The sequence below is a fragment of the Homo sapiens genome, chromosome 2 (assembly GCF_000001405.40).
Source record: "Homo sapiens chromosome 2, GRCh38.p14 Primary Assembly".
NCBI lineage: Eukaryota > Metazoa > Chordata > Mammalia > Primates > Hominidae > Homo > Homo sapiens.
Window position 1 is genome coordinate 44,134,175 of NC_000002.12, and position 15,805 is coordinate 44,149,979.

Here is a 15,805-nt window from a genome sequence, read left to right on the forward strand (position 1 = left end):
AGAGGCTTGGCTAGTAAAGTTGGTCTTGTTTTTTTTTGTTGTTTTTTTTTTTTTTTTTTTTTTTGAGACAGAGTTTCGCTCTGTCACCCAGGCTGGAGTGCAGTGGCACAATCTTGGCTCACTGCAAGGTCCGCCTCCCGGGCTCACACCATTCTCCCGCCTCAGCCTCCTGAGTGGCTGGGACTATGGGTGCCTGCGACCACACCTGGCTAATTTTTTTGTGTTTTCAGTAGAGACGGGGTTTCACCGTGTTAGCCAGGATGGTCTCGATCTCCTGACCTCGTGATCTGCCCGCCTCAGCCTCCCAAAGTGCTGGGATTACAGGCGTGAGCCACCATGCCCAGCAAGTTGGTCTTGTTATAAAGATGAAGGCTCCTAGGTAGCAGCCCTCAGAGACAATAGATGGTAAATCTTTTTTTTTTTTTTTTTTTTTTTTTTTTTTTTTCAGATTTTGAAAGGTGTCAGATTCTCAGTTAATCTCTCCTAGATCTGGGAAAGGCCTAGAAAGGAGGGCCTGGATGAATAATGGAGACTTTCTAGAGATGCAAATTTTCCCAGTGAAAAATAGTTTCAGAGGGCTACCTTAGTTGGATGGCTTGGCAGCAGCCATTTCAAAATATATTTGGGGGGAAAATATTTTTATTTCCTTCAGCCTCCTAATTTTACTTCTTTCATTATATATCAGTTAGCTTTGTAAATGACTTAAACTAACAAACAAAACAAAACAAACAGACAGGACCTTGCTCTGTCACCCAGGCTGGAGTGCAGTGGTGTGATCATACCTCACTGCAGCCTCGAACTCCTGAACTCAAATGATCCTCCTCTCTCAGCCCTGCAAATACAGGCAAGCACCACCATGCTTGGCTAATTTTTTTTGTTTTTATTGTTTGTAGAGGTGGTATCTCCCTCTGTTCCAGGCTAGTCTTGAACTTCTGGCCTCAAGCAATCCTCCTGCCTCAGCCTCCCAAAGTGCTGGGATTACAGGTGTGAGCTACAGCTGTGTAGGGGAGAAAAAATAATTTTCTTTCTACCTTTCATAATTATTAACAGGGAGTCCCTATAACAAAAGACAGATTACCAAGAGAAAATCAAACAGAAGTTTATTAACATGCATGCCTCATGGATACATGGTGGGAGCCAGGGGCAGAATGCAGCACAAACCCCAAGAAATTAATAAATCTTCAGAGTGGATCTCAAAGAAAGTTTAAACTTCAGGCTTAAATATTACCTTTTTCTGAAACAAAGAAAGAAGGGAAAAATGAGATGGCCAGGAAAAGTACATTAAACAAAGGTAGTATTTATTATGCAGATTTAAATCCATGCCTTCTCCATTGTTCAAGAGTCTCTCATGATTTAGTCACCCTTTTCTTCCTGGTGCAGAGGAGACAGTCTTACAAATGGAGATTTCCTTTACAAATGTAAATTTCTCTTACAAAAGGATAACTATGTCTATAGTTTCTCAAAATAATCAATATGCTAAAGAGACATATTTTGGGGTGGCATATTCTGGTCTTCTACATTTGTTGGGCTGTAGTGTCCTGAGCCACATGAGTTGAGTATAAAAAAAAATAGTTGAGTAGGTAATTTTCTAAACTGTATTTAAAGGTTTATCTATCTAACTTGCCTGGGAACTACTGCTAAGGTAGACTTAAATATATTCTCTGCTCACAAATTCTTTGGGACAGAATTGCTCATAACTTCCAAAAGGCAGACTCATGTGTTGTCTTTGGGCCCCAGACCATTTCTCTTGCCTGACTCTGCTCTGGTTGTCAATGGATTGAACTCCAACAACTTCACATTTTGCTCCTACGTTCTTGGAGCTGAAAGCTGTAATCATTTCATAAGATTTTCTACGTCCTTCTTCTTGGCAAAGGAATTACAAGTTTATATAAATAGAGTTTATATCAGTCCAAGAAAATGACTTGCAAAAATTTACAAAGCAACATAAAATTAGACATAAATAAATACAGGGAAAAAATAGTGTATGATGCAAGTCTGAGAATATTGACTGATCTTTCATGCTAGATGAAATGTAAGGGCAAATGCAAAATTTCCTTCGGTAGAAAAATAAGGGAAGAGTATTTTCTCTCACTTCTTCCTTTTCTTTTGGAGTTTATTTCTCTGTCCTTGTCAAAAGTATGTAAATTATTTTAATGGCTAAATAAGCCACTGGCCAGTCTCACAACTCAGGAATGTTTCCTCAAGGAGTTGGGAGTCATCGCTTTGAAATGTTATCATTTAAGAAGATAACGCACCACCTGATGCCACTCCCATCTTTTAGTTTTGTGGGAAATGATGGACCTGCCTACATTGTCACCTGATTCCAAATTGCAAAACCTATCTAACAGTTTGCATGGATTGGGCTATGGTTCGAATGTTTCCTCCAAAACTCATGTTGAAACTTAATAGCCATTGTGACAGTATTAAGATGAGAGACCTTTAAGAGGTGGTTGGATCATGTGGGCTCTGCCTTCCTTCGTTAGTGGATCGATGCGTTATTGCAGGAGTGTGTTCCTAATGAAAGGATAAAGTTTGGCTCCCATTCCCTCTCTGTCTCTCGTGCTTGCTTGCCCTTCTACCTTCCCTGGTGAGATAACGCAGCACAAAGGCCCTTGCCAGATCCCAGTACCATGTTCTTGGGTTTTCTGGCCTCCAGAACTGTGAGAAAGAAATGTCTTTACTTTCCAATTATCCAGTCTCTGATATTCTATTACTGCAGCAGAGAACAGACTAAGAGAGTTTGTATCCACTTAGCTATAAAAAGAGTCAAATTCCTTTCTAACTTTGCAAACCCTTTAGCAGGTTTCCTGTATTGTGCATCACATTCTGGTTTAATGCTTTTTCGATAATAAAATCATTGTCTTTCTCTTCTACCTTTACGGAGAGGTTTTCTGGGTTGGGAGAAGACTTTGTTTTTAATTATATTTCTCTCAACACAGGATGAGCTGAGCTTTTCTGGCAGCTGTGATATTGATGCCAGGTAGTTTCAATCATGACATTAATCCTCTCTGTTTTCTCTAAGTAATAGAGAATAATTGCAGCATGGTGGTCAAGAATGTGGACTCTGGAATGAAAACCCTTGCCTTCAAATTCTCGCTGTGATTCACCAACAATGTAACTGTGTGCCAATCAATTAGATGTTACGCTGAACTGTCCCCAGTCTAAATTTTCTCATCAGCTCTTCTTAGCCGCAGTTTTCTCATCTCTAAAATGCTGAATTATGAATAGTGCTCACTCTGTAGGGTTGTAAAAATTGGGTGAAACAGCATATGCTTGGTACAGTGCCTGGCATACAGTAAGCACTCAAAAACATGTTAGCTGTTATTTAAATTCTGACAAAGGAATTCATATTAATTATTGCTGTATAACTAGATTATTCTCAAAATGACATTTTTATTCTTAAGAAAGTGTTTACAATTCATTTTATTTTTAAATTTTAATTTTTAACACTGAGCGCTAGTGTTATAAAAAGGAGTAATTGTTTCATCTAAGTAACAAATCTCTCACAGAGATCTAATTAAAAATAGAAACAAGTTTTTATAGTTTTTCCCCTTCCTTTGTACTTTATTCTTAAAACAGGTCTTTTTTAAACCCCAGGTTCTAGGGGTAACTATTAACAGTTTGATGTGCATCCTTCTAGACATATAAGTCCAGTTCCCCACTCCACCTGGATCATACTACACATAGCAATTTGCTTTAAAGACCTAGCAATATATCATTGATATAGTTCCATGTGAGATGATATTGTAACTGTAATAGGTTCATTGCCCAATGCGTGGCAAGTCAATACGCTGAGACACCAGGTTGCAGCAGAGGAAATGGTTTACTCACAGGGCCACCAAACAAGGAGATAGGAGGAAACCTCAAATCCATCTCCCCAGGGAGTTTGGAGCTAGGGATCTTAAGGGTTTTGGAATTGGCCAAACTGTGGAGATCATTCATTGGTTGAAGAATGCAGGGTAAAGTCATGGAACAGGGAAATGAAGAAACTGTATTCTCATGCTGATTTAGTATCTCTATGGGGGTCTTCAAACTGGTTGGTATCAGCTGTTCCAGTGGATTTCAGAATCTGAAACACATTCTAAGTAGTTTTTTTTTTCCTTCTTTCTTTCTCTCTTTTTTTTTTTTTTTTTTTTTGAGAGTCTTTGTCATTTAGGCTGGAGTGCAGTGATGCAATCTCAGCTCACTGCAATCTCTGTCTTGCAGGTTCAAGTGATTCTCATGCCTCAGCCTCCTGAGTAGATGGGACTACAGGCATATGCCACCACGCCTGGCTACTGTGTGTATTTTTAGTAGAGATGGGGTTTTGCCATGTTGCCCAGGCTGGTCTTGAACTCCTGGTCTCAACTGATCCACCCGCCTTGGCCTCCCAAAGTGCTAGGATTACAGGCATGAGCCACTGTACCCGGCCCTAAGCAGTTTTCAAACAAAAACCTTATGATTCCAACATCAGACATCTTATCTATTGGAGCAATGGGGATCCAAATCATCAGTATCTAGTGCTACATGATTTTACAAGGATGTGGGCCAACTTGCAGCCTCATTAATGCTTAATTATAACTATATTTCTGTCCAGAATTCTTGTTAACCCTGTGAGGACAGCTTCAATATAGATAAATTTCATTCTTTATGGCTATGTGGTATCCAATAAGACAAATGTACTTTGATTTACTTAACCATTCAATATTAACAGATATTAAGGTTATTTCCAATCTTCAGCTATTTTAAACCATGCTACTGTATGTCCTTGGAGGAGCATTTCCTTATTTTAGTTTCCAAGGCCGAGCATTTGAAACCATCTGTCAAATTACACACCCATAAATTGTGTACGAACAGAGTAGTTTCCCTTATCGCCATTGCTCGATCTTATTTATTTTCATTGTTGCCAATTGGAAAAACCAATAGTATCTCCTAATTTTTTAAATTTTCATTTCTTTGATTATTCATGATTTAGAATTTTTTGTATTTTTTGGTCACTTGTTCTTATTCTGTGAAATGCCTATTTGTATCATTTGCTTTCTCTCGCTTATGATTTGTCTATTTCTTAATGATTTGTAGGATTCTCTTTTTTTTTTTTTTTTTTTTTTTGGAGACAGAGTCTCATTCTGTCGCCCAGGCTAGAGTGCAGTGTCTCTATCTCGGCTCACTGCAACCGCCACCTCCTGGGTTCAAGCGATTCTCCTGCCTCAGCCTCCTGAGTAGCTGGGATTACAGGTGCCCGCTACCAGGCCTGGCTATTTTTTTTTTTTTTTTTTTTTTTTGTATTTTTAGTAGAGACGGGGTTTCACCATGTTGGCCAGGCTGGTCTCAAAATCCTGACCTCAGGTGATCCGCCCGCCTTCGCCTCCCAAAGTGTTGGGATTACAGGTGTGAGCCACGGTGCCTGGCCTGTAGGATTCTTTATATAGAACATCATTAATGTGTTATCTGCCCTTTAGCTCTGTTTCTGGAACTGCTGTTTGCCTGACTTTGGATCAGTGCTCACCCCTATAACTTTGCAACCTACTTCTGGTCTTCACTTTTCCTTGCCCTCAACTCAGTTTTCCCAACTCTCCCCTCTTGGACCTATTTGGGGCACTCCTTGTGAATTCCCAGTCTTGATCTTACCCTTGTATTTTTCTCACTGAGAACTGTGAAGAGGGAAAGAGTGGGATTACAGAAGGTAGAGATGAAAGTACCAGGAAGGTGGTGAAGGTAGAGATTTGTAATATCTATACCATTGCTCATGTGACTTCCTTTTTTTATGTGCTTCAAAGATGGCACTTTGTTGTGGTGTCCTCACATGGCAGAAGAGACGAACACTGTGCCCTCATATGATGGAATGGGCAAGAAAGCTTTCTCAAGCCTCTTTTATAAGGGCACTAAATCTAGTTTATGAGGGGAAACCCTCATGACTTAATCACTTCCCAAAAGCCCCATATCCTATTACTATCACATTGAGTATTAGGTTCCAACATATGAATATTGAGGGGACACCAACATTTAGACTGTAGCAGACTCCTTCCTGGAGGCACAGCCTAGAATCTGCATACAATCCCTTCCAATATTTTTGCAAGCACTTAATTCCTTAGATTATGTTCCATTTCATGTATTACCATTTACTAGTAAAGTCACCTCAATTATCTGCAAAGTAAGTCCTGATTAATTCATCCCAATTAATTCATAAAACATAGTAAGAATTTTGGATTTTATTTAGTGAAAGGATGGAAGCTTCTCTGAGGAAGCAATGCTTGAGCTGATTTCTAAAAGATATATATATGTTAATTAGTGAAATGAAAGGGGGAGAATATTCCTGGCAGAGGACTTAGTGTAGACACTGTTGTTTAGGAGGGAACTTGGAGAGAGAAAAAATGGCTGTAAGAAGCCTGTGTGGCTGGAGCATAGAGAGTGAAAGGGAGGGAGGCACCAAATGAGGATGGACAATAGGAAGAATGGGAAAGTAATAAGGGAGGAGGTAATAATTTGATCAGATTTGCATTTTGAAAATATTACTCTAGCTTTGGTGGAAAAGGAGATTGGATAGGGTCCAGAGATGATGAAGATACATCAGTGTGTTGGAGCCTCCCAAAAAATACATGAGAAGATTTTGGATTAGCAGCTCACTAGCAGGTGATGAAAGAAGTGGATGGTTGAGGGATTTTGATAAGACTTGGCGATGGGGCCAGGCACGTTGGCTCACACCTATAATCCCAGCACTTTGGGAGGCCGAGGCGGGGTATCACCTGAGGTCAGGAGTTCAAGACCAGCCTGGGCAAAATGGTGAAACCCCATCTCTACTAAAAACACAAAAATTAGCTGGGCACGGTGGCACGTGCCTGTAATCTCAGCTACTCAAGAGGCTGAGGCAGGAGAATCACTTGAGCCCAGGAGGCAGAGGTTGCAGTGAGCCAAGATTTTGCCATTGCACTCCAGCCTGGGTGACAGAGTGAGACTCCATCTCAAAAAAAAGAGACTTGTTGATGGACTGGAGATGGGGGTGAGAAAGAAGCAAGTGTTCAGGATAACTCCTCGGGGTCTAGTTTGCCAGTTGTATGGAGAGCAGTGACATTCACTGAGACAGAAAACCCTTGGAGAGCGCAGGGTTGCTTAGAAAGGAATTTGGGGCTTAAATAACTAATAATTCCGGGGGGTAATTTTGGGATTTACCTCAGGAATAACTGGCTCCAAGGGCTCAAAAAATTACAGTAGAATACACTATATCTGTCTGTCCCTAGGACAGGCTCTCTCCCCATGTGGCAGAGACTATTGCCACCAAATGTCCAAGACATGTTCTCTCTCGCCTTTTTTTTCTTTTCTGTAGGGTTGAGGTCTTACTATAGTGCCCAGGCTGATCTTGAACTCCTGACCTCAAGTGATCCTTCTGCCATGGCCTCCTAAAGTATTGGGATTACAGGTGTGAGCCACTGCACCCAACTAAGACATGTTCTAACAGCTTGGTAACCCTAGTGCACAGCAGAAAAGTTCAAGGTTTGCATTCTGATTGGCCTGGCTTGGATCCCATTCCCACCCCCAAACCAATCAGTGTAGCCAGAGAAAGATGGTGTACTTGACTGATCAGGCCTGGATTATGCGTTCAGCCCTTTAATGGTAGGAAGAGGAAGTTTGGGAAGGTCAGTCCTAGATGAATCTTATGGAAATTATTTTCCAAAGTAGAAAAGTAGATGGGGATGCTAGACAGGCCATAGCAACTGTTGGCAAGACCACTGATAATCTTCTACCACTCAATGTTAAGCTCCTTGAAGGCAGGAGCCATGTCTCACTTAATAGCTTCAATGCCAAAAATAGTACCTAATATTTAATAAGTGTTCAATAAATATTTGCTGAATGAATACATAAGGAATAAATAAATATCATAGGCAAAGTTTCAGAGGTCACAAAGTTGGAACAAGTAATGTAGAGAGTAGCAGTGGGAAATATGACTGAGGTATAGGTTAAGGCCGTATAGTAGGAATGCTTAAAAGGAATTTGTGGATTACTATGTAGACGGGAGGGAACCACTAAAGGGAGATAATAGGATCAGAGCTAAACATTAAGAAGACTAAACCAGTAGAAAGGTCTGGAATGATTTGGTGGTAGGACCCCAACAAATAGGAAGATCTTTCTAATAGAAGGCTATGGCAATTATTTGGTTAGAGCAGTAGCTCTCAACTGGGGATTAAGATTTTTTTCCTCAGGGGATATTTGGCAATGTCTGGGGATATATTTGATTTTCACAACTGAGGGGGGTGCAATTATCAGTGGGTAGAGGTCAAAGATGCTGTTAAACATCCTACAATGCATGGAACAGCTTCTCACAATAAAGAATGATCTTGTCCAAAATATCTATTGCACTCTACTTGGGAAAACCCTGGGTTAGAGGTAATTAGAGTAGATAACAGGAAGTGAAAGAATGGAGCAAACCTGCATGGCACCATGGAAGTAGAACACACAGAATTTTGAAAACATATAGGGCAGAGAGAAGGCAGGATTAAAAAGAAAATTCTAAGGGTTAGAGCTGATAACTGAGAAGATGATGGTGTCACGAACAGAAACAGAGAAATTAGAAGGAGAATCAAATCTTAAGGGGGGCCAGGTGTGATGGCTCATGCCTGTAATCCCAGAACATTGGGAGGCCAAGGCAGGCAGATCACTTGAGGTCAGGAGTTCAACACCAGCCTGGCCAACATGGCAAAACCATATCTCTACTAAATATACAAAAATTATCCTGGTGTGGTGGCACGTGCCCATTCTCCCAGCTACTCGGAAGGCAGAGGTTGCAGTAAGCTGAGACGGTGCCACTGCACTCCACCCTGGGTGACAGGGTGAGAGTCCATCTTAAAAAGAAAAAAATCTTAAGGGAGGATGACGAATTTGTTTTAAGATGGCAACTGGATACCCTAGCGCATATCCAGAGGCAGTTGAAAATGTACTTGCAAAGCCTAGCAAGAGCTTAACACCAGAGATACAGATTTTAGGAGACATTGGCATTGAGTTATTGGATAAGGAAAGGGGAGCATATGAGAGGCTGAGAAAGAGCAAAGAGGAGAAGAGGTCTGAGAACAGACTTGTGAAACACTGGGCAAGAAATGCAAAGATCTGTCAGTCAGTGTAAGGCAGTGATGTTTATAAAATCATATTGTTTTTCAGAATAATTATTTGCTTCAGTGATTAATTTTTCCCCACAAATTTTTCATACTAATTAGACTACCTGGAAGTGAGTCTTTCCTAACTGTTCCTAAAGTCTTGTTAAATCCATATCAAAGAGCCTCTTGTTCTCTTGTTTTTAAATCACGGTTTTATTAAATCCTCAAATCCTCTTATAAATCTCAAACATATTTTCAAGCTTGGCTCAATGGAACAGTGTTTTTAAAGCATTCTTTTCCTTTTTTTTCTGTGACCATCTTTAGTATTTAAGAATTGTTTCAAAATTATTTTTAAGGTCGACCCTCTGCAAAATTGGGAAGTAGGTTATTTGATTTCGGAGCATAACAAGCCTGAGGCTTTTTACCTCTCCATAAAGGAAGGGAGTGTGAGCATGAGAGTTTCTATCTCAGCTCTGCCACCAGTAAGCTATGTGACCTTTGGTAATTTTTTCTCTCTCTCTCTGTTTTTTACAGCTTTTAATTGAATAATACCACACCTACAAAAAAAATCACAAGCTTTGTAAGAGAATGACATAAACATTTAATGTGGTAGTTTCCCATCACTGTGTAATTCATTGCTTGTCTCTTCAGTGTAAATTCCAAGGCGCAATTCAGAAGCATGACAGATTTTCACAAACTTTCCAAAGTATTTTTTGTTTTGTTTTCTCTTTTCCTTTTTTAGGTCTCCCAGGCTCGAGTGCAGTGGTACAATCATAGCTCACTATAATCATGAACTTCTGGCCTCAAGAGACTCTCCTGCCTCAGCCTACCTAGCAGCTGGGACTACAGGCGTGCACCACCACACCTAGATAACTTTATTTTTTCACTTTTTTTTTTTGAGACGAGTCTTGCTCTGTCCCCCAGGCTGGAGTGCAGTGGCGCAATCTCGGCTCACTGCCAGTTCCGCCTCGTGGGTTCACACCATTCTCCTGCCTCAGCCTCCTCAGTAGCTGGAACTACAGGCGCCTGCCACCACGCCAGGCTAATTTTTTATATTTTTAGCAGAAACGGGGTTTCACTGTGTTAGCCAGGATGGTCTCGATCTCCTGACCTTGTGATCCGCCCTCCTTGGCCTCCCAGAGTGCTGGGATTACAGGTGTGAGCCATCACGCCTGGTCTTATTTTTTCACTTTTGTAGAGACAGGATCTTGCTATGTTGCTCAGACTTGTCTCAAACTCTTGAATTCCTGGTCTCAAGTGATCCTCCCACCTTGGCATCCCAAAGCGCTGGGATTACAGGTATAAACCACTGCGCCTGGCCTTCCAAATTTTTTATTTTGAAAAATGCCAAATCTATAAAAAGTTGAAAACAATAATACAACGAGTACTGATATACCATTCACCTAGACTCACCTATCATTAACTTTTATAGCATTTGCTTATCTATCTGCCTCTAACTATCTGTATTTTTTTGTTAAATCACTTGAAAGTAAGTTAAAGATATCATGAAACTTTACCCCTAAGCACCGAGTATATATCTCCTAAGAATTAGAACATTTTACTATATAACCACAATATTATTATCTCACACAAAAAAATTGTGCGTTAATAAAGTAGTATTATCTAATATGTATTCAAAAATTTTAAATTGTTCCCCAGATAAGTTTTATTTATTTATTTATTTTTATTTTTTGAGACAGAGTCTCACGCTGTTGCCCAGGCTGGAGTGCAGTGGTGTGATCTTTGCTCACTGCAACCTCAGCCTCCTGGGTTCAAGTGATTCTTCTGCCTCAGCCTCCTGAGTAGCTGGGATTATAGGATGCGTGCCACCACGTCCAGCTAATTTTTGTATTTTTAGTAGAGACAGGGTTTCTGCCATGTTGGCCAGGCTGGTCTTGACCTCCTGATCTCAAGTGATCTGCCTGCCTTGGCTTCCCAAAGTGCTGGAATTACAGATGTGAGCCACTGTGCCCTGCCATGAAGGCACCATCTTTGAAGCAGAGAGCAGCCCTTATTAGACACCAAATTTGCTGGCACCTTGATCTTGGACTTCCCAGCCTCTAGAACTGTGAGTAACAAATTTCTGTTGTTTATAAACTACCCAGTCTAAGGTATTTTATTATAGCATCAGAAATGGACTAAGACACTTGAGTGTGTTTGTTAATGTAATAGCTATGGTAGGCCAGACATGGTGGCTCATTCTTGTAATCTCAGCACTTAGGGAGACCAAGGGAGGAGGACTGCTTGAGCCCAGGAGTTCAATTCCAGCCTGGGCAACATAGCAAGACCCCGTCTCTACAAAAATAAAAATAAATCCCCACTTGGAGTTATCTGCAGTGCTGTTAAGGGACTGCAGATGCTAGAGGAGTTGCAGTCACCCTACATTCCCAGGCAGATGTTCTCTACTCTCTTTGCCTTCTTTGACCTCACTGCTGCAAACTTCCACTTGTATTAAACATATTTATTGAATATATGTTGAGGAGTGCTACAACATTTTACTTGAATATATGTTGATGAATGCTACATTTCACTGGGGCCTCAATTCACTCCTCTGCAAGATAACTTCAGTAATTTAGAAGCATTATCACTAGTTTTGTAATGTTTCTTTAGAAATGTTAAAGGCATCTATAGGTAGTCACTGAATTGTGAAGAGTATGAGATCAATATTTAGATGAAGCTGAGGTCAGCATGTGTCATTATGAAAGTAATCCTATTCATCATCATATATATATATATTTTTTTTTCGAGATGGAGTTTTGCTTTTGTTGCCCAGGATGGAGTGCAATGGTGCGGTCTCAGCTCACTGCGACCTCCTCCTCCAGGGTTCAAGTGATTCTCCTGCCTCAGCCTCCCAAGTAGCTGGGATTACAGGCACCCGCCACCATGCCCAGCTAATTTTTGTATTTTTAGTAGAGATGGGGTTTCACCGTGTTGGCCAGGCTGGTGGCAAACTCCTTACTTCAGGTCATTCACCCACCTCGGCTTCCCAAAGTGATGGGATTACAGGCGTGAGCCACCGCGCCCAGCCTTGTTATCATATTTTACAGACTCTGTCCATGTGAAAACTAAGCCATTATACCCAGTTACTCCAAGATAACAAAAGTCATTGGGTCTCTTTCAAACATGAAGGGGTCTACTTCAGATTTCCAGAAGTATGTGTGCCCAGGAGAAAAGTGACACAGGTTTGGTGAGTAGTCAAAGGGCTATAAAAGGTTTGATAAATCCCCACTTGGGGTTTTTCCTGGAACAAATGAACAAAAAGCAATATTTAAATATTTAAAAGGTCTTCCTGACTGCTGTGTTACAAGGAAACCTACTGAGGCCTAAACTGAAGTGAAAGCAGGAATCTTAAGAGGTAAAGTGAGTACCAAAGATGGCTTAGTCCTAAGGTTTCTGAAGAACTGTGGAGAACTTGAACTTCTACTCTGAAGGCTGCACAGCGTTTGGGGGACAGAAGATAATACCTAGGGCCTACCCAAGTAGAGAGTCTACTACAGGATCCCCATAAAGCTGAGAACTCCCTGCCCCAAATCCCAGAGAGAAATAGACTTACCACTTAGAAGTGAACAGCAGGCTGGGCGCAGTGGCTCATGCCTGTAATTCCAGCACTTTGGGAGGCCGAGGTGGGTGGATCACCTGAGGTCAGGAGTTCAAGACCAGCCTGACCAACATAGTGAAACCCTGTCTCTACTAAAATACAAAAATTAGCCAGACATGGTGGCGGGTGCCTGTAATCTCAGCTACTTGGGAGGCTGAGGCAGGATAATCGCTTGAACCCAGGAGGCAGAGGTCACAGTGAACTGAGATCATGCCATTGCACTCCAGTCTGGGCAGCAAGAGCAAAACTCCGTCTCAGAAAAAAAAAAAAAAAAAAGTGGTGAACAGCAAACAATTTGCTTATCTTGAACTTGACTCTGGGTAAGGAGAACAAGATAGAAAAATTCCCCCCTGGGCATTTGCTACCACAGACTGGCCTCCAAGTGGATTTTTAGTCCAATAGCATGCTCCCTATGAGGTTTGAAAACCTAAAATGATCATTTATATGGTTTGGCTCTGTGTCCCTACCCAAATCTCATCTCAAATTATAATCCCTATGTGTCAGGGGAGGCAGCTGGTGGGAAGTAATTGGATCATGGTGGCAGATTTCCCCCATGCTGTTCTTATGATAGTAAGTTCTCATGAGATCTGATGGTTTAAAAGTGTGGCACTCCCCACCCCTGCCCCCACCACCTCCTGCCACCATGTAAGATGTGCCTTGCTTCCCCTCCTGCCATGACTATAAGTTTCCTGAGGCCTCCCCAGCCACGTGGAACTGCAAGTCAACTAAACCTCTTTTTTTATAAATTACCCAGTCTCAGGTCTGCCATATTCTCAGGTCTGAGACTGGGTAATTTATAAAGAAAAGAGGTTTAATTGACTCACAGCTGTATAGCAATGTGAAAACAGACTAATAGAGTCATATAACTTGAAGTGGTCCCAGGCTGGTAGTTCCTTCAGTAAATAGGCAAGAGGATTGCAATTTCAACCTGGACCTCAAAGAAATCCTGCCAATAAAATGCTAAGGCTGGCCAGTCGCAGTGGCTCATGCCTGTAATCCCAGCACTTTGCGAGGCCAAGGCGGGCGGATCACGAGGTCAGGAGATTGAGACCATCCTGGCTAACATGGTGAAACCCCGTCTCTAATAAAAATACAAAAAAAATTAACCAGGGCGTGGTGGCGGGCACCTGTAGTCCCAGCTACTCGGGAGGCTGAGGCAGGAGAATGGCGTGAGCCCAGGAGATAGAGCTTGCAGTGAGCCGAGATTGCGCCACTGCACTCCAGTGTGGGTGACAGAGCGAGACTGTCTCAAAAAAAAAAAAAAAAAAAAAAGCTACAGCCAGTGATTCAGCTCACAGTGAAAGATCTAATGACACAAGGAAATAAGGCACTCAAAGCCAAGAAATAGCCAAAACTAAAGAGCAAAATCGGCTGGGCTAGGTGGCTCATGCCTGTAATCCCAGCACTTTGGGAGGCCAAGGCAGGTGGATCACCTGAGGTCTGGGGTTCGAGACCAGCCTGGCCAACATGGTGAAACCCCATCTCTACTAAAAGTACAAAAATTAGCCGGGCGTAGTGGCAGGTGCCTGTAATCCCAGCTACTTGGGAGACTGAGGCAGGAGAATCTCTTGAACCTGGGGGGCGGAGATTGCAGTGAGCCATTGCACTCCAGGCTGGGCAACAAGAGAGCGAAACTCCGTCTCAAAAAAACAAAAAAAAACAAAAAAACAAAAAACAAAACAAACAAACAAAAAAACACTAAACAGCAAAATCAAATCTGCAAAGACTTCAGATGTTGAAATTGTCAGATCCGACATCAAATTACTGTTTTGTATATTTAAAGAAATAAAAGGGTGTTTCAAAATATGAGCAAGGAACAAAAGACTATAAAAATAGTTAAGCCAATATGATAAAGAGCCAAAGAGAATTTCTAGAGATGAAAATTTTAATCATTGAAATTGAAAACTCAATAGATGGATTAAGCCTCAGAATAGAAACAGCTGAGAAGAGAATTTGTAGAAGAGTCCAGTCCAGGGTTATAGTCACATAACTCCAGTTTTGTCCAGGGCAGTTTCAAAATTCCAAATGTGTTCAAAGCTAAATCTTCTCTGATTCTCCAGCTCAGGGCTGCCTCGAGCATCAGAGCCAGAGGTAGGAGAGGCAGCCTTGTCAGCCACTCCTCTCCTCCCATACCACCTCCTGAACTTGCTAACTGCTGTTTCTGACCTCTCCACCCTGTACCAGTGGGGAAAGGGGATTAGGGGAAAAGGCAAACAGTCTTTTATACCTAGTGCAGTGTCCTCTGGCATCAGTGCCCTCTGGGAATGGAAAATGCCCAAAGCTGACTCTCTCTCCCAGGTCACCCCTCTCTCCCCACCTACCCTGACTGCAGTTCCCTGATGCAGACAACACTTCTCTGGCTGTCAGCTTTTGATGACTTCCTCAATTTGGGCTTCTGGTGGTTCCTTCACTCCTTGAGGAGCGAGGAGGCAAGATTCCTCTTCAGTTCATCCCAGGTGCAATGGTTTGAATGTCTCTTCCAACATTCATGTTGAAATGTAATTGCCATTAATCCAGATTAGGTCATGGACTAATGCCATTATCACAGGAGTAGATTAGTTATTATAGGCTTGCAGGCTCCCTTTTCTCTCTGTCTCTTGCACTCTCTTGCTCTTCCACCTTCTGACAAGCGATAATGCAGCAAGAAGACCTTGACCAGATGCAGCCCCTCAGTCTTGGACTTCCCAGCCTCTAGAACCATGAGCCAAATAAATCTCCTTCCCTGATACATTACCCAGTCTGTGGTATTCTGTTATAGCTGTGGAAAACAGACTACAAAAATTGGTACCAAGAAGTGGAGCTGTTGCTATAACAAATGCTTGAAAATTTGGAAGTGTCTTTGGAACTGGATGATGAGTAGAGGCTTGAAGAATTTGGAGGAACAGACTAGAAAAAGCCTGGATTGCTGTGAATGGAGCATAAAGGGAGATTCTGATGAGGACTCAGGAGAAGAGCTGTAGGGAAAACTCTTTGAGATTAATCGATGGCTGTGATCAGAACGTTGGTAGAAATATGAATGGTAAAGCCCATTTTGATGAGGTCTCAGGCGGAAATGAGGAAGAAGGTGATGGAAACTGAAGTAAAGGCCATTCTTGTTATGCAGTTACAAAAATTTGGCAAAATTGTGTTAGTGTCCAAGAACTTT

The 15,805-nt window shown here is 41.7% G+C and overlaps 1 annotated feature.

Annotated features, from left to right (window-relative positions):
* Nucleotides 560-1,433: an enhancer, noted in NCBI's record as "OCT4-NANOG-H3K27ac-H3K4me1 hESC enhancer chr2:44361873-44362746 (GRCh37/hg19 assembly coordinates)". NCBI's record gives its function as "activates a minimal SCP1, AML or CMV promoter by ChIP-STARR-seq in naive H9 embryonic stem cells {active_cell/tissue: H9 hESC(naive)}" and the evidence as "EXISTENCE:reporter gene assay evidence [ECO:0000049][PMID:30033119]".